Source organism: Homo sapiens, chromosome 7, assembly GCF_000001405.40.
Source record: "Homo sapiens chromosome 7, GRCh38.p14 Primary Assembly".
Taxonomy (NCBI): domain Eukaryota; kingdom Metazoa; phylum Chordata; class Mammalia; order Primates; family Hominidae; genus Homo; species Homo sapiens.
The window spans coordinates 18,920,626-18,940,350 of NC_000007.14; the positions used below are offsets into that span (position 1 = coordinate 18,920,626).

The window sequence follows — 19,725 nt, forward strand, 5'->3', positions numbered from 1 at the left end:
GGGTTTGTCATAGATAGCTCTTATTATTTTGAGATATGTCCCATCAATACCTAATTTATTGAGCGTTTTTAGCATGAAGCGTTGTTGAATTTTGTCAAAGGCCTTTTCTGCATCTATTGAGATAATCATGTGGTTTTTGTCTTTGGTTCTGTTTATATGCTGGATTACATTTATTGATTTTCGTATGTTGAACCAGCCTTGTATACCAGGGATGAAGCCCACTTGATCATGGTGGATAAGCTTTTTGATGTGTTGCTGGATTCGGTTTGCCAGTATTTTATTGAGGATTCAGAAATAATGCCGCATATCTACAACTATCTGATCTTTGACAAACCTGACAAAAACAAGCAATGGGGAAAGGATTCCCTATTTAATAAATGGTGCTGGGAAAACTGGCTAGCCATATGTAGAAAGCTGAAACTGGATCCCTTCCTTACACCTTATACAAAAATCAATTCAAGATGGATTAAAGACTTACATGTTAGACCTAAAACCATAAAAACCGTAGAAGAAAACCTAGGCAATACCATTCAGGACATAGGCATGGGCAAGGACTTCATGTCTAAAACACCAAAGCAATGGCAACAAAAGCCAAAATTGACAAATGGGATCTAATTAGACTAAAGAGCTTCTGCACAGCAAACGAAACCACCATCAGAGTGAACAGGCAACCTACAGAATGGGAGAAAATTTTTGCAACCTGCTTATCTGACAAAGGGCTAATATCCAGAATCTACACTGAACTCAACAAATTTACAAGAAAAAAACAACCCCATCAAAAAGTGGGTGAAGGATATGAACAGACACTTCTCAAAAGAAGACATTTATGCAGCCAAAACACACATGAAAAAATGCTCATCATCACTGGCCATCAGAGAAATGCAAATCAAAACCGCAATGAGATACCATCTCACACCAGTTAGAATGGCAATCATTAAAAAGTCAGGAAACAACAGGTGCTGGAGAGGATGTGGAGAAATAGGAACACTTTTACACTGTTGGTGGGACTGTTAACTAGTTCAATCATTGTGGAAGTCAGTGTGGCAATTCCTTAGGGATCTAGAACTAGAAATACCATTTGACCCAGCCATCCCATTACTGGGTATATACCCAAAGGACTATAAATCATGCTGCTATAAAGACACATGTACACGTATGTTTATTGCGGCACTATTCACAATAGCAAAGACTTGGAACCAACCCAAATGTCCAACAATGATAGACTGGATTAAGAAAATGTGGCACATATGCACTATGGAATACTATGCAGCCATAACAAAGGATGAGTTCATGTCCTTTGTAGGGACATGGATGAAGCTGGAAACCATCATTCTCAGCAAACTCTCACAAGGACAAAAAACCAAACACCGCATATTCTCACTCATAGGTTGGAACTGCATAATGAGAACACATGGACACAGGAAGGGGAACATCACACACTGGGGCCTGTTGTGGGGTGGGGGGAGGGGGGAAGGATAGCATTAGGAGATATACCTAATGCTAAATGACGAGTTAATGGGTGCAGCACACCAACATGGCACATGTATATATATGTAACAAACCTGCACGTTGTGCACATGTACCCTACAACTTAAACTATAATAATAATAATTAAAAAACATTAATTATTATAAATTGCTTTTATAACAAGACACTGTGCTAAATTATCCTATTTTTAAATTCTATATGTTTTCTATATAATTAAACCTATTATTTATAATGTAATGATAGTCTAATTTCTTTTTCCCAAAAAAATAAAAAATGTTGTGAGAGGATCAACTCAAATAACACAGCTAGAAGGAAGCCTTCAAGATTTTGTAGTCAGATGACCTTCAAACCTCAATGCAGGTAGAAGGACCTCAGTGGAAAAACTCAAACCTCAGTAGAGGAACTTACTTTAAATGCAGAGATTTGGATTCAAACTTGGTCTGGGATGAGGCTCACAAATCTGCATTTTAACAAACACCCAGGAGATTCTGATTAACCAAAGGTTAAACTCCACTTTAAGAAATATGAGTTAGTCTGACACTTATATTTGACCCTTAGAGAAACAAAGCAAAGTCCAGAGATGGGAATTGGCAGGTCCAATTATGCAGTAGGCTATAGAACCTGAGTTAGATTTAGTTACTAATATCATTTGAAATTATTGATTAATTTTATCCAAATTCAGAATCAGTGGTGCCACCCTGGCTCTGTTGCTGATGCTTCCCAAGGTAGACTAGATAATTTTCCTAAGCAGTTAACATTTTTATGGTAATAAAAATCGACAAATGTCTAGAGAGGGTTTAAGCAGCTGGCAGAGAACGCCTGGGTGTCTCCTAAGAGAAGTAATGTCTCTTCAATGAATTTGAAGTTGGAAATTATTAGGATGAGTTACACAACTCTTTTGACACATGGTGATAATGATAAAAGCTTTATTCCTTTAATAGTCACTATGAATTTCTTTTGTCACCTATTATTAATTAGGTAATTTTGAACACCCAGTTGCTATTATTTTCTGAAGCTATAATACTTGTGATTGGGATAAGTGAAATGCTGATGGTCCCACTTTAATAAAGTGCTACTTTTTTTATCTTATACATCTATCCGTTAATATCCAGATTCTGAAATTTTAACTATTTTTGAAAAATCTAAACTCACACTCTAAGGTTAGAGCAATAGACTCAACAGCTGCGTATCCCTAGTGTATTCCAGCTTGACTCCCAGTCTAATGCATCTGCGAGCTTCTTTGGTTTGAAAAGTAGTTGCCTAATCTCATTATAGACCCTTGTTGAAAGATGTCCATGACCTCTCAGTTTGAACGATTCTAGAATGGCTAGCATAGTGCTTTTTTATTTATTCTGGTACATACCCAGCTATTCCCCAAAGTCCTGGCAACTCCTCTTTATCTTTGATCTCCCCACCCTGAATCTGTCCTCTGCTTACCTCACTCTCTCATCATTCAATTCCACAATCTTGTCATCTTCTTTCAGATACCTTAAGTGTCTTGAAGTGTTTGACCTAAAATGTCACCGCCTTACCCGAAATACTCTATCTTTACCATTATGAAGGTTTTATAGCATTTTATATAAGTTGGATATTGGGCTTCACTCACAAGTAGACCATGGCTTAAGATGAAAGACCTCTGGCATAATAAAGGAAAGACTCCCTTTTCATGTCCCACACCTCCAACTTGGAAAGGTAGGAAAATCATGCAAGATAAAAACAATGATCCAATACGCTATGGAATATGTAATGTTATTCCCCAAAGAATGATAGTTATATGGAAATCTTTCATGGAAATTGGAGGCAGTCTTTATTTTCTTTTAATGATTTTTTTAATGGCAGGTGGGAATAGACTTAAAACAGAACAAAACCACTGTGATAAGTATTTGAAAAGAAGCCTTTATTTTATCCATATTGACAGGTTGAATCATGGCATTTGTAAAAATGGTGTAGGATCTTGGCCATGTTTGTACTGCGGATTTTCTGCCCTGATGTTGGAGAATTGCCTGTTTTAAAAAAAAGGAAGGAAAAAAAAAAAACTATCCTAACTATCCTATTGGGCTTATTAGATGCTTATGAATTTTGCTAAATGTTATCCTTTCTTTTGCAAATATTCTTTAAGTATTTCTATTAAATGGTGATTTATTTTAAAAATCATCAATAACAAATGTATAATAGAAGCTTATATACTATGGAATTCTTAATCTTTAACAAACACATTTAGAGGCATTTCATATTTAGTTAACATACAATTGCTGTCTAATTTAATCTAAATTAAATGGTTGCTTGTAACTTACAATTCGGAGGGTTCCTGAACCTCGACTTATGGCAGGAAAAATAAGAAGTCATCAGTTTTGCCCAGAGGGTAGATACTTATCTTTTAAAATCAGGTATTTTGGTCTTGAAATTAAAAACCCTGGTCATTTGGGAAATGCAATTCCAAGGAATGTTTTTGGCAATGAGACATGTCCCCATTTTCCTTAGAAGGCAGCGGTTTTGTTTTTCTACCATTTAACAAATCTGTGTAATTTAGCTGATACTTATCTAGCACTTTAAAGATGAATGATCATCTGTTTGTGAAGAATATACACATTGAGATTCAATAGTAATATTTTCGTTGTTGTTTGTTTGTTTTTTTAAAGACCAGATAACTTATTGTGTGTCAGGTACTATGCTAGTTGAAAATATCAGTTTATAAAAAGCAACTAGGCATTCAGAAACCGTGAGGATGATTATGGCAAATCAGTGCATAAGCTTTTTGGCAATGGTCAATTATAAGTGTTGCCATGGCCATCATAACCTGAGTTGAATTTTGGGAGTACTGCCATGAATTAATGCTGTGCTCAAAGTTAAAATGCAAGCTTAGATGCAAGGGTTAGTTTGAAAAGGAATTAGTTTTTTGAAGGGGTGATATATTTCCTTTTCAAACTGAAAAAATAGCAAAAAAATCGAAGTGGATCAGTTTTAACTACTGTAAGTTGTAGCTTGAGTAAGAAGAATGGGTTACAGTCATTAACGTTTGAGGATTATTTTTCAGGCACAACTGGCACTGTGATTGTAGTACTAATGCATTAAATTTGCACTTCAATATTACTTGGATTTAGCCACAGAAGAGTGGCTTGGATGACAGGCACTAAAGTCAACTGACCCAACCTCTTATCCCAACTTTGTCATTGATTGACCTTTGTTGCTTGGGCAAGTTAATGTTCTTATAACTTGGGAAGTTGTGTGGTGAATAAATGAGATAATGCATTTCAGCACTTAGCATGGTGCCTGGTTATATTAGGTCTCACTAACATTAGTTTATACACCATATAAGGGTAATGAACACCTTTGCTTGGCTCATAACTATGCCTTCATTGCCAGCACAGTTCCTTGGTCACATAGTAGCTTCTTAGTAGGTATCTCTTAATTGAATGGATCTACCACAATTATTTTTTGAGTCCTCTTGAATACATGGTGTTTTAGTTTTACCCTGTGTAAAACTAAATCAATGAAATTTTGTATAAGTTAAATTTTTTTAGTTAAATACATCTTTTTTTTTCCATACACCTATGTAAGCAAGAGTTTGTGGCCAGAAAGACTTGAGCCTTTTTCATTTGGTGTGTTATATTTATTTGGACTTGAACTTCTTCCCCACACATCTCTCACTCCTCACCCTCACCCCCATCTTTGAACATGATTTTCTACTTATATTGGCCACAATGTCTTTTTTAAAAACATTGTTCAAAAAGGATACTAGATATTCTATAGCAGATATATCATAAGAGCATAACATTTTTCATGTTTTACTTGCTCTTCTTTACTTTTCCTCAAAAAATTGCTCTCTGGTATCACTATGGGCCTTAGTTTCCTCATCCACTTCTTAAAACGATAGAATTGGAGTATGTAAACTTGCAATTATATCTAGATCTGTAATTGTTAAATGAAAAGCTTTCATTAAAAGTATAAATACTGGCCAAGCATGGTGGCTCACACCTGTAATCCCAGAACTCTGGGAGGCCGAGGCAGGAGGATTGCTTCAGGCCAGGAGTTCTAGACCAGCCTGGGCAACATAGTAAGACCCTGTCCTTATAAAAAAAATTGAAAAATTAGTAGGGTGTGGTAGTGGGATGTAATCCAAGCTAGTCAGTAGACTGAGGTGGGAGGATTGTTTGGGCCCTGTAATTTTAGGTTAAGTGAGCTATGATGATGCCACTACACTCCAGCCTGGATGACAGAGTGAGACTTCATCTCCAAAAAAATGTATAAATACTGAGCATCTGCCATATGCCAGACTCTGTTTGATAAACTGTGTATCCATTTTGCAGTTGGCCTTTAATGATTAAATATTCATTTCAAACCTGTGATGTAGAATAAGTAGTATTTAATTTTATTTATAGGTAATATAACTGAGGTTCAAATAGAGTTTATAATAACTCATATCTAATAGAAGTATCAGAATTATGTATAAAACTGTGGCACAGAGTAGGTATTTTGTAAATAATAGTTGATTTGTAGTTGGATCGTAGATGGATGGAGGGATGGGTGAATGGATGGATGGATGGATTGATGGATAACTAAAGTTCCAGTCAATCATTCTTGCCATTTATTTTCTCAGGAATTTCTGAGGATCAATTTTGTCTTACAAAAAATAATGGCATTGAAGTATTCTGTTGTTTCAGACTTTTTTTAGGATACAATTTATTCATTTGCTTTCAAAAGGTGCTGAGAATATAAACTTACCTCCTGGAGCATCACTGACTAGAAGAGTAAAAGGATTTTTACTGTGATTGAAAATGCTTTCTTTAAAACATATGCAGTATTTATAGGGCTGCTTGGAATAAGCCAATTGAAAGATTTAATGGTAATAATCTCCATATTTCTTATAAAATTGATTTCCGGATTCAGTGAACTTGGAAAGAGTCCTGGGACATCAAATAAGTAAAATCTTAACATGAAATGAATCTTCAGAATATGTTCATAAATTTACATTTTAAACATAACCAGATAATATATATCTTTACCCGTTATTAAGGTGATACTTTAATGAAAATTTTTCATTTGCATGAAATAAACCTTTTTGGCTACAGATGAAAGGACTTTATGGTAGCGACAATGGTTCTGTGAGTTAAATGATCCCAACATCATCAGGAATGAATCACAAGTGCCTACCATATGAATTACAGCACCATGAGTCTTAAAAAGGTATTTCTGTGGAAAGCATTCCTCCCATCTGCAACAATCAGATTCTGCTTTGAAGTCCTGCTGGAGAGCCTCACAATACATGAGACTGCCACATGCTACCCGAATTTCTCTCTCTACTTGAGCCTGACTGCATTTTCCTAAAGAATAACATGGTAACTTAATGACCAGGGGGTTTAGAGAGGGAGGAAAATGGCTACAGTTTTTATAATTAGACTTCCCTGGATGTGCATTCTTCAGTAATACTTTTTGGATATAACTACAGAAGGTAGTCCAATGGATGAGAAAAATTTAATTTCAAATGAAAATAGGGCAACAATGTGTGACTCCTTTGGTCCCTACTATATTAAATGTGTGGTGAAGTCTTCATAAACATTTCAGGCCCAAATGTAATTGACATGTTAATAAATGAGTAAATTGGTAGTGAGACTTTTTAGCCATAGAAGAGTTACAAATTAATACAAATCATCATGAGATAGGTGTCAGTGAGTATTTCAAAAGCTTTCACTCCTGCTTATCTTGATGCCAGTGCCTCTGCTGCTGAATGGCAGAGTGAGGATGGAGGTTGCCAGAATCATTTTTGTTGTTTCTTTTTTTAACTAGAGGCTTTCCTCAATAGAAAGAAAATAATAGTTGGGGGGAGACTTGTCATGAATGGGAGACTGGCATCAGCAACGTCAACAAATGTTTAAGTAGAAGTAAAATGACTTATCCAATAGATCACAATGTGTCACCATTTCTTTATTAACCAAACGAATCATGATCGAGGTATCTTTCTCTGAGAATTGGCTGCTGATTCTAGAGTCTGTTCTATTTTACTACAGGGAGGCAGGATAGCAATAGTAACTAAATTGTAGGTTGGAGAGAATTCCCTGTTCAACCTACTACAGCATTAACTCAGTTTTGGCCTCCATAGAGACTTCCAATTCCATTTGCAATTTTGTAATAGAAACAGATTTTGTGGGAGAATCTCTCATTTCTCTGAGCTTCTATCAAAACATTAGGTTATTCAAAATAGGCATTGCTAAATATACATGGGTTCTAAAAGAAAAAAGTTTATACAGTTCTGACTGTACTTTGTTCTCCTTTTGGCTTTATGTGCTTTAGGTTCTAGCCCATGCTCTGGTGAAACAGATAAGTTAGCAATAAAAAGAGCAAGGCTTCTTCCAACCCTAATAATACATAATAACACTAGAATAAGATAAACACTAACATACATTGGTCACTTTGATTATACACTAGGCTATTATTTGCTATCTTGTATATTAAACTAAAAACCTAAAGCACACTTAAATATCTAAAAACAGAATTGCTTGGTGCATGGGTACATTTTAAATGATATTGTAGAGAACATGAAAAATGTATCCACTATTTGATATTTGTAAATGTATTTTTAAAAAACCAGAATGATTTTGTTTTATTTAGAAAATACAACAAGAAGCATGAAATACACAAAGGTAGAATTGGCTATTTCTGGTCGATGGAACTATGTATTTATTATTATTTATAATTATTTGATGATGATCATTTATTTTATTTATTTATCAAATAAAAGATAACACTTTATATGATATATCACAACATAGAGCCTGTTTATTATTATACTATTTATTTATTATTTTCTATCATCTTCCAAATTTCTTACAACGAGAATGCAATAATTTTGGTTTTTTAATATAGTTTTTTTTAATGAAAATTAAAATAAAGCTAGTTAAGGTTGTTTCCTTTCACTACCACTATTCTCTGGGAACTATTTGGAAATGTTAGAGAGAAGCATTTGAGACATGTCACCTTGAAGGATGAATCCTTTTGTGTCATCTGACTTGGTTATTAAATACGTATATAAGGCTTAATCTTTGAGCCTTCTTAGAGCAACTTTTCATTTCAAACAACTTCTAAACTAGAGAAAATACTGACACAATATGATTTCTTAGCAGAAACCAACCCCTATAAAGTATCAGGAAATCAAATTGAAATTGATAATTTGAAACCATTACCATATTGATAGCTTATTTAATTCTATTTTTATAATCAAAAATATTAAATTTGTTTCTACTAAATTAATGGAACCAAACAGAGGATTTCATTCTGAAAAGGCCCTTCTAATTCTCTTTCTCAGTGGTTTCAAGGTCATGGTAATTACCAGTTCAGCTCCACTTGGTCATCAAAAGAAATGATTTGTTACAATGTAGAATCCTTCTCATGCTTATAATTTAATGCTGATAGACAATTTTTAAAACAACCAGGCTACATGTAGGATTCTTTAGTAGTAGATGTGGTGTTTGATTAATGCCTCATTCTAAAATATTTCCTAAAATAAAAGCTTAAGTTACCAAATCTCTTTTAAAAAGTATCTGACACGGCTGGGCATGGTAGCTTACGCCTGTAATTCCAGCACTTTGGGAGGCAAAGGCTGGTGGATCACGAGGTCAAGAGATCGAGACTATCCTGGCCAACCAACATGGTGAAACCGCGTCTCTACTAAAAATACAAAAATTAGCTGGGTGTGGTGGTGCACGCCTGTAGTCCAGCTACTCGGGAGGCTGAGGCAGGAGAATTGCTTGAACCCGGGAGGTGGAGGTTGCAGTGAGCTGAGATCACGCCACTGCACTCTAGCCCAGGTGACACAGCAAGACGCCGCCTCAAAAAAAAAAATATCTGAAACAATATGATTTCTTAGCAGAAACCAACACCTATAAAGTATACAGATTCTTTTGTAGTCAATACAGGTAATAGGGATGTCTGTCAAGGCTGATTTTTAGTCAGTGCATCCCAATATGAACCTGTACATGTGGCTGCTCCGAGGCATCCAAGCTCCTCCCTCAGCTCTGCACTCAATTAGGAAACTGATGCCCTATGTGGTTGTTGAGAACCCCGTTCCATCTCTATGTCCAGTGATTGCTTGAGCCTACAAGGTACCATGGTATAGGAACACGTTTTCCACTTAATCACTTAGCCCATCAGCCCTCACACTCAAAACACTCAACCCCGCTTGAGGAAGGTCTGTGCTAAAATTTTTCAACTCTGAAGGTGTTATTAAGTTTACTGTCAAATGTAGGATGAGCTTTTGTGTCTTTAATGAAGCTAGAAGTAAATATGATTACATGAAACTTGCAATCATGCCTACTAAAATTGTTATATATGCTCTAATCTAACACACACATACACACAAACACACACACACACACGTACACATGCCACTGAAACCTTTAATATGTCCTGAAAAATAATACCTTCACCTGGGTAGCCACACTCGGCTGGCATTTTTAATGTTTCTAATATGTACAGTAACAGTGGACACAGCAGAATTCAGGATAATAAAATTAAAAAAAAATACTGAATTGCTTATTTTGATTTGAAGAAAGGGCATGGGCCTTGTAGAACTTTCCTTACATCACTTGAATGTTTTGTGCATGCATAACTTAGAGTTCAGCTGCCTCAGTCTCTGACTGCAGAGATCACATGGGTAACATGTGAATGGAAATAAACCCTGTAGGTAAAAGAAAGAGGAATTTGGATAGAGATCAAAGATTAACTTCATTCCACTCTTTCCTTCCACTTTTTACTATCCCATCTAAATTTGGCATTTTATGGGACTTTTTTTCATTGCCAGAGGAAAGAGTGAACTTAAACCAGATTTGGATCGCTCTGTCTCTTTCTTTCTTTAATCCAGTGATTTGGTTTGTTCAGTAGTGACTTTAGATAATTGAATTCTCAGTTACTAGAAATTATTAGTAAGATTTCTGGCTTGATTTATTATATCTTTTAAAATTATAACTGTAGCCCTGGTTTAGGTTACAGAAAAAGCGGTCTAGAATATTTAATAATATGATTAACAGAAATGTGTCCTTACCTATTAGGTTTTTTACATAAATTTTCTAGAATGGTACTAATTACTATGTGCTATTAATCTTGGCTCAGGGAAAGAACATTTCTAAGCATTAGGGATCAAAATTTTGCGTTACTTCTTTTCTGAATGTTTATCATTCTTTTTATTGTCATCCCGGTAATAAGGTAGTTTAGTGTGGACAGCCTCATTCCTAAGTGGCCTGGGTAAAAGATTCTTATCGGCATCATAATGAGGTCCATAGGAATTGAGAAAAACTAAAATGCTTGATAACAGTTTTTAACTAATTTTTAAATCCTTTTTAAATGTATTTTTGTCAAGAATTTTAAAACGTGATAATTGTAAAGTGACTAATTTGACTTCCATCCAAATAGTAGTTAAGTGGTTAAAATCAACATTAAAGTGCTTCAAGATATTGAGGAGATTCACTCATCCTGTTCATGGTGAACATCAAGTGCTAGACCAGAAGGGAAAATCTAGGCAGTTGTTTACCAAGTGGATTATTTTAATGCATTACCGGGATTAATGTATTATTTTATTGTTCAAAATAGAAGCAACCTAATTTAGTTTCAGGCTCTCATTATCTGATGATTTTATAGGCTTTCATTAAATTCTAGTGAATACATCCTGAGAATTTATTTTCTTTTCAAACTAAAGACTATGACAATTAAAAGATCATTGGTTGCCAGGAGTTGAGGGGCAGAGAGGGAGGATGAATAGGTAAATCACAGGAAATTTTCAGGGCAGTCATTGATTCTGTCTGATAGTATAATGGTGGATGCGTGACATTATGCATTTGTCAAAACCCACAGAATGTACAACACAAAGTGTGAACCTCAACTATACTTTAGTTAATAATAATGCATCGGTACTGGCTTATCAATCATAACAAATGTACCAAAATGATGCAAAATGTTAATATGGAAAGAAAGAGACTGGATATGGAACTTGCTGTACTTCCTGCTCAGTTTTTCTGTAAATACAAAACTGCTCTAAAAAATAAAATCTATGAATTATGAAAAATTCAATTGATTTAAAAATTAAAATTTTTTGCTGTAAGTTCACAAAGCATATAAAAAATGAAATGTTCTACTGAAACACGTGTTTTCATTTATTTTTATTTACCGTACCTTTTGGCAATTGCCCCTGAAATTGGACAGGTCGGATGCCATGATAATTTTTTCTAAATGTTGAATGAGAAACATTCAAATTTGGCAATATGAGACATTACATATTCTTAAACACTTTTATGTGAAAGTATCTCAAAATGCTGAATTAAATATTAAAATCATCCTTTTAAATTTGTGGTTGACTTCCAAAAGATAGAAAAAGGAGAGTAAATCCTGAAGTTGTTGACTACCCTGGGGGCATCTATACCAAAATCTCCAATCGGTCGGAGTTGGAACATTAATAATCTACTGCATATTGCAAAAGAGGGTCAGAGGCTTGGGCCTAAGAAGGGGAGGGAATTTAACTGGAGACCAGAATAAAGAAAGAATGACAAATGGCCAACACTTTGGAAGAGAATAAATAGGAGAAAAGAAAATACTCCTAAATAAAACATCATATCTATCTTAGCTTTTGCCACCAATAAAGGGAATTTCCGAAAGAAAGTTTCAGAGAAAGAGAGAGAAAGAACGTAAGAGAGAAAGAGAAAAAGAAGAAAGAAAGATAGAAAGAAAGAAGGAAGGAAGGAAGGAAGGAAAAAAAGAAAGAAAGAAAGAAAGAAAGAAAGAAAGGATGTCCTGACTTTCTTCTCCATGAGAATTTGTAATAAAGTTTTAAGGTCCATATTTATAATATACATGTGCAAACAAAAACAGCAAACTCCACAACCAGTCTTGCCATATAAGAATTTAAAATAGGTCCTAGAAGGTAGTGTCCCAGATATCCAGCAAAAGCAAACAATATCACACTTGAGCCAGACTTGAATGACAGATACCATATTCAACCCCAGTGTCTTAGTTCAGGCTGCTGTATCAAAATACGATAGACTGATAGCTTATAAACAACAGAAATTTATTTCTCACAGTTCTGGTTACTGTAAGTCTGAGATCAGCTTGCCAGCATGGTCAGGTTCTGGTCAGGGCCTTCTGGAATAAAGACTGCCAAGTAAAGACTTGGACCCTTAGAAGGCAACAAGAGAACTAGAGGACTCTGGGTCCTTTTTGTTAAGGGTACAAATCTAATTTACGAGGACTCTACCTAATCTGGATTAAAGAGTGCCAACTTCTCCTTGGATCCTTAGAAGGCAACAAGAGAGCTAGAGGACTCTCTCTGGGGTCCCTTTTGTAAGGGTACTGATCTCATTCATGAAGACTCTACATAATTATCAAAGGCTGCCTCTCAAAAACATCACATTGGAGGTTAGAATTTCCATATATAAATTTTGGGGTGTAGTCACATTCAGTCCATTGCACCAAGCTTCAAATATTTTTCACATATAAAGTTACAATGAATACAAGCTCAAAGTACTCCACAAATTAAATAAATTAATAAAAGTTTTTAAAAAGGGGATAATTAAGGCAGCATGAACATGAATCAGCAGAAACAACAGAGAGCAAACTAAACCAAAAGATTTCAAATGTCAGTTACAGAATATAAAATAATTATGCTGAAAGAAATAAAAGAAGAAATAAAAACATAAACAAGGAGTTAAGAAAGTATCATAATGACCAATAAGTCACGAAATAGAACAAAATTGGAATTCTAGAGTTAAATAATACAATCACAGAAATGAAAATATCACTAAAGATGTGATGTAGCAGATTAGAGATGTCTGAAGAGGGAAAGTCTGGAAGACAGCTCTGATTCAAAAATATACGTAATGCAGGACAGAGAGAGATGGAAAATATGAAAGAGAACTTAGATCAAGGAAATATTTACAGACAATGTCCACCTACATCTATGTGGAACTTCAAAATAATGTAATAGAGTAAACAAACATTTTATTTCAGCAAATTTAAACAATGAAATAAAAGAAGGAAACGCCTGTAAAAATATAACTTAGGACGATATAGAAAGCAGGTGTAGTGATATAATCCCTTTAAAAATTCAATCAATACTAAAAATATTCTTCAAAGTGAACACAAGACCCTAATGGTTTCATACGAGATTTGTCCCCAACATTCTGGCATCAGATAATAAAAACAGAGGGTCCCAACCACATCAAAATTCATTATGGCCAATACAGGAATGGAAAAGTACAGATTAACCCCATTCATGAACATACTCAAAAAAATCTTAAAGCATTAGCAAAACAAATCCAGGTGTGTACTAAAAAGATAATACATTATGACCAAGCTTATTTTACTTCCTAAATGCAATGATGGCTTCATATTTGAAATATTAATTAATGTAACTAACAGCACTGTGAAATTATGGGGAAAAGTCTATCTGTGTAAAGAAATAATTAGATTAAATTACATTTGTAATGAAATCTCTAAGTTAAATTAGAAATAGAAAACTCCCCTCTTACACTGAATGAAAACACAATAAGATGCCATTTTTTTGCCACCCACTTGGCAAACCATACCAAATGTTGGCAAGGATGTGACTTAACTGGAATTCTTACATATACTGTTTCTGAGGGTGGGGCTTGGTAATAGCCCTTTGGAAATAATCTGGCATTATTTAGCAGATTTTTAAGACTCAACAATTCTGTTTCACATGTGCATATGTGCACCAGAAGACCCGTGTAAGAATGTTCATGGCGACGTTATTTGTAACGACAAAAAAACTGGAATTTGGTGATAACAAGAAAACCAACTCTCTGCCAATAGAAGAATGGGTAACCTCTGTTGACATATAATGGCCTACTAGACAGCAAAAAAACTATAGCTACAGGGATCAACAAAGATGAGCTAACAAAATACATGAAAATAGCAAGTTGCAAAAGTGTAAAACCATTTTTATAAAGTTGAAAAACAAGGAAATTTAGAAAAGGAAAGCAATGGAATTATAAACTCAGGATCCTGATCTCCCACAAGGAGGAGGATAGCTACTGTCAGAGAAAGGCACATGGGGGTTGAAAAAGTGTTGCTAACTTAATTTTCCTTAAGTTGGAAGGTAAAAAAGCAGATATTTGTCATATTATTGTATTTTATAACTCGTATAGATGTTATTCATATTTTGCATTTATCAAATGTTTCATAATAAAATAATGCTTATAAAATCTAATGTAATAGATTTTACATTACATTAGATAATGTAAATATTATATTAGATAATGTAAATTTGTAATATATAGCAATTTGGGGCATAGAAAACTTTCTATAATAAAGGCCATTGATAGCGACAGGAAGCATATGGTAAGCAAATGGAAGAGTTTACCTTGTTAACACCTGCTGAAGAGTATTCAGTTTTTTTATCCAGATACATACAGACCATGTTATGAAAAGCAGCCCTGTGCACTGGTGAAGAGCTAGATTGGTGCCAGTCTTGGTTGTGATACTTCTTAGCTGTGGGATCTTGGGCTTTGGGTCCCTTATCTGTAAAATAGAGATAATAATAGGACCTAATCCATAAAGTTATTTTAAGTATTGGATGAGTTAGCACACAGAAAATGCTTAGTAATGACTTACTCAAAATACATGCTCAATGTTAGATTCTAGTGATCACTTTCTCTTGATTTAATACTTTGAAATGTTCTGTTTGTATTATGGTAGGTTTTGGTCATTTGACGAAGCAATTGATGACATTGGCTGATGGACGTGTGGTGTTGGCTCTAGAAGGAGGACATGATCTCACAGCCATCTGTGATGCATCAGAAGCCTGTGTAAATGCCCTTCTAGGAAATGAGGTAAAAAAGTAAAAGTACAAAGGGGCAGGGGTAAAGAATCAGGGATGTATGCATGCATATTTTTAAACTAAAAAAAAATTCTGCATACTCAGAAAGCTTAACATTGCTCTTACCATTAAGAAAGAAGGTAAGCCTTAGATAAGTTTACATGTTCTCGTATACTACAATGTTATCCCAGGTACAGAATCCACATAGCACTCACTCCCTTCAATCAGGTTAGCCATGGAGCTCAAAAATAAGAACATTTTGTCTACTGACCCAACCAATGAGTACGGAAACATTGAATAAGAAATAAAACTTTAAAAAATGTCTGGAGGTTTCTTGTAGGGTTATGTTATTTCTGGGAAAAAAAAACTGTTTTAAAAATTGGTAAACTATTTTTGTCACCATTTAAGAATTCTTTATGCTAAGAGGTAGGTATTTCCATCTTACAGATGGTGAGAATGAGTCTCAAAAATGTTGAGAAATCCATCCAAAGTCATGCAGTCAGAATGCATTATAAGATCCAAGACATGAACATGAATCTAAATGGCCAAAGACCATTATATTTTCTTTCACATCACATGGCTACATTGCAACATACTTTCTGACTACTCTGCAGAATTCAGATCCAATTGCTATGAGGTTCACTTCCAGCTCATGGCAACATTTTCAACCAATTAGTTGCAATTCAGCAAATATTTCAAAGTTTCTATGTATTCATTAATATTATCCATTAATCTATTTTCTATAGTGATTATACAGTAGTGTTAAGACTATCATATGCATTTTGCCTTTCTTTTATGAATTTGCAATATGATTTTGCTTATTAGATAAACATATACAAAATCTTTTTAAAAATCTATCATTCATATCATTTTTTTAACTGTAATGCATGCCTTTGCCTGTAGTATTTTATAAAACAAAATGTACCTTTTCTTCTGCACATAGAACACATAGTTACTATTGTCATCATTATTTTACAAACCTGTAATGTTTCCATATGATTATTTTTCATATATATTGAAGTAAAAATGTATGTTGTTAATTTGAAGAAAAAATATGAGAGAGAAAACTTAAGCATTGCTCAAGTACTTTGCTCTTGTTAATTTTTTTTTTTTTTTTTTTTTTTTTCTGAGATAGAGTCTCGCTCTGTCGCCCAGGCTGGAGTGCAGTGGCGCGATCTCGGCTCACTGCAACCTCCGCCACCCGGGTTGAAGTGATTCCCCTGCCTCAGCCACCCAAGTAGCTGGGATTACAGGTGTGCACCATCACGCCCAGCTAATTTTTGTATTTTTAGTAGAGACGGGGTTTCACCATGTTGGCTAGGCTGGTCTCGAACTCCTGACCTCGTGATCTGCCCGCCTCGGCCTCCCAAAGTGCTGGAATTACAGGCCTGAACCACCGTGCCTGGCTGTCTTGTTAATTTTAGACAGCACAGTAACTCAAAGGATGTAATTATCTAATGATTAGTGTCAACAAAGTGCTGCTGTTTCAGATCACGCACAATTCAACGTGTGTAAAATTTTCTAAAATGTTAGTGTCTTTCTGTGATCCCTGTACACCAATAATGTCAAACAGGATGTTGAGTGTTTTTTTGTGGCAGTAAGGGAGTGCAAGAAATAAATGCTATTTTTATTTTATAAGTTGATGTTGGGGTGCTTCTTTGTCCCCTAGATAACATTTTTTGCATAGTCACCTGTATTCTGAAATCACTTATTTGATTTTAATTATAGAAATATGTTACAGAAGCATAATAATATTAATATTTGCATTATAAAGGCTTACACCAGATGTGCAGACAATCAGAATAGGTTGTGGATCTGTAGCTCCATGGATAATTGACCTAGCCAGAAAGAAATGTTACCTGATTGCAAAAGCCAACTACTTTTCTTCCTATGTGGAAGGAAATCAGGGATTTTACTGGCTTTCTTTGAACACATGCATTCAAATGTCTCTATACTCATAATCTTTTGCTCTTAACCCAACATTTCCAATGAGGATGGAGTGATCTCCCCTATGATCTCTTTCTTTAAGAAATGATTATGTTTCAGAACAGATTCAACTGTGTGGAGTTACATGTTTTTCTTAATTTATCTGTGTTTACTGTAAAGCAAAGTGTGTTTTGTACCTTGCTGCCATTCTATGACCTTTTGACTGGGAGAACTCTGGCCATTTTAGTACACGTGCTTTTCGTGGAGATGAAATACACTGCTTTTGTAGAGCAATTAGTGACTTTAAAATTGATGGCATGAGCCGAGATCCCGCCACTGCACTCCAGCCTGGGCGACAGAGCGAGACTCCGTCTCAAAAAAAAAAAAAAAAAAAAAAAATTGATGGCAATATGAGAGATTACATATTCTTAAATATTCCTATATGAAAGTATCTCGCTGGCCGGGCGCGGTGTCTCACGCCTGTAATCGCAGCACTTTGGGAGGCCGAGGCGGGTGGATCACGAGGTCATGAGATCAAGACCATCCTGGCTAACACTGTGAAACCCTGTCTCTACTAAAAATACAAAAAATTAGCGGGGCGTGTTGGCAGGCGCCTGTAGTCCCAGCTACTCCGGAGCCTGAGTCAGGAGAATGGCATGAACCCGAGAGGTGGAGCTTGCAGTGAGCCGAGATGGCACCACTGCATTCCAGCCTGGGCGACAGAGGCGAGACTCCGTCTCAAAAAAAATAATAATAAAAAAAAATCTCAAAATGCTGAATTAAATATTAAAACCACCCTTTTAAATTTATGAATGACTTCCAAAAAGATAGAAAAAGGAGAGTGAATACTGCAACTGTTGGCTACCTTGGAGGCATCTGTTTGAAAATCACCAACTGGTCAGAGTTTGAACATTAATAATCTACTGCATATTGCAAAAGATAGTCAAAGCCTTGGGCCTAAGAAGGAAAGGGAATTTAATTGGAGACCAGAACGCAGAAAGAATGACAATGATGTCACCTGATTTAAAGTGTGAGACCTGTGCCTTTTCTCTATATGTTTAGAAAGACCAGGCTTGAGAAAGAGAAAGGAATAAAGGTATTGCTGGACAATATTAAACCTGACCATGTGAGTGTTTAGATTGCTAAAATTTCCAGTAAGTGCTAACTGAAATGATTATTTTTGGCTATATTGACTATTGAACTTACTAATTAATATGTATGTCTTATGGTAAATTTGAGTTAGTTATTATGATGCCCTAAATACCAGCTTGTCCCTTTTGGTTGGTGGTCTTCAGTTGCATAAGCACAACCTAAAATTTTTTCAATATAAACTAAAGGAAGGGAGGTTTAAATAATGTATGCTTTTCTATATTTTTTGCATTAAACTTTCTTGGGAACATAAATAAGAATATAGAATTCCTAGCAGATACTTTAAGGGTAACAATGAATATGGGATTATTGAATTTTTGAAAGGTAAATTTTGTTGTGTCAGGTCTATCAGTATATGGAAGAACAAAGTTAAGAAAAAGAAAGATTATTAAAAGTGAAAAATTAAAGAAAAATACAAATGTGTTGTACATTATAATTCATTTGGAAAAAGGAAATGAAAATATAATACATAAAACACATTAAAGAATGGAGAGTTCTTCTCACTTTCATTGACAATATAATTTATAATCCAAGGCCTGGTTTTCTGTATTTTTTTCCAGGTCAAAGATCATTATGACTACACTGAAGTTTTAAATTTTATTCTTTTAGAAAAGTAATATATAAGGCGTATTACATGTACTTCACCATTTTTTAAAAAGTGCATATATGTAGTTTTCACAGTAGTTTTATATGGTAAGCTGTAGGTAAAAAAATACAAAAGGATGTCTTTCAGATTGCGATTTCAAATCCCAGTTTCCCTCCAAACCCTTTATTCAGTGATTAATAGAGCAATTAGAACTCATTATCTGGGATTTCACTTTTACAAATAACAAAATGTAGTAAAGCTTGAACTTAAAACATTGGCAGAACCCGCTTTAGTTTCTCAACACTGAACATGCAATTGAACTCCCATTAGAAAGGTCAAGAGGGGCCTTTCTGAGGGCCTCTGCTCTTTGTCAGATGTATTTATTCATGTGCAGAGGATTAGAATTCATAAACATTTTGCCAGTTTTTTGAATGCTATTTCTTTCCCTTGTTGTTTTTGGCCAGGCCATGTCAATACAGCAAAATTTTGCTTCTTAGGGCTTATGATCAGCAGAATAATATGTATTACATAACCCAAAGTAATTATAAAATCAGCAGGAACCGTTAGCTGTGCATCTGTGTAGACACATAGAGGGGTACCAAAAAACTTGATTTTTAAAAATTTTAGTTATCTGAGTGTTGCACCCAAAACATGCATTTTCTTCTTTTTAAATATCTTTATCATGAAAATGATCTACTTAGCAAAACATCTCTTAACTATTCTTTTCAGAAATATGTACAAGGTCAGTCAAAATAGTATA

General features: G+C 34.9%; 1 protein-coding gene across 6 annotated transcripts in view; it reads left to right on the top strand.

The window, feature by feature from the left end:
* Positions 1 to 19,725, top strand: part of HDAC9 (histone deacetylase 9) — a 915,592-nt gene that overhangs the window by 833,801 nt on the left and 62,066 nt on the right. For all 6 annotated transcript variants that reach the window (NM_001321868.2, NM_178425.4, NM_001321877.2 and 3 more), the window contains one exon: positions 15,184 to 15,317. In NM_001321868.2, coding sequence (NP_001308797.1) covers positions 15,184 to 15,317 — 134 coding nt within the window. The remainder of the gene's footprint in view (positions 1 to 15,183; positions 15,318 to 19,725) is intronic.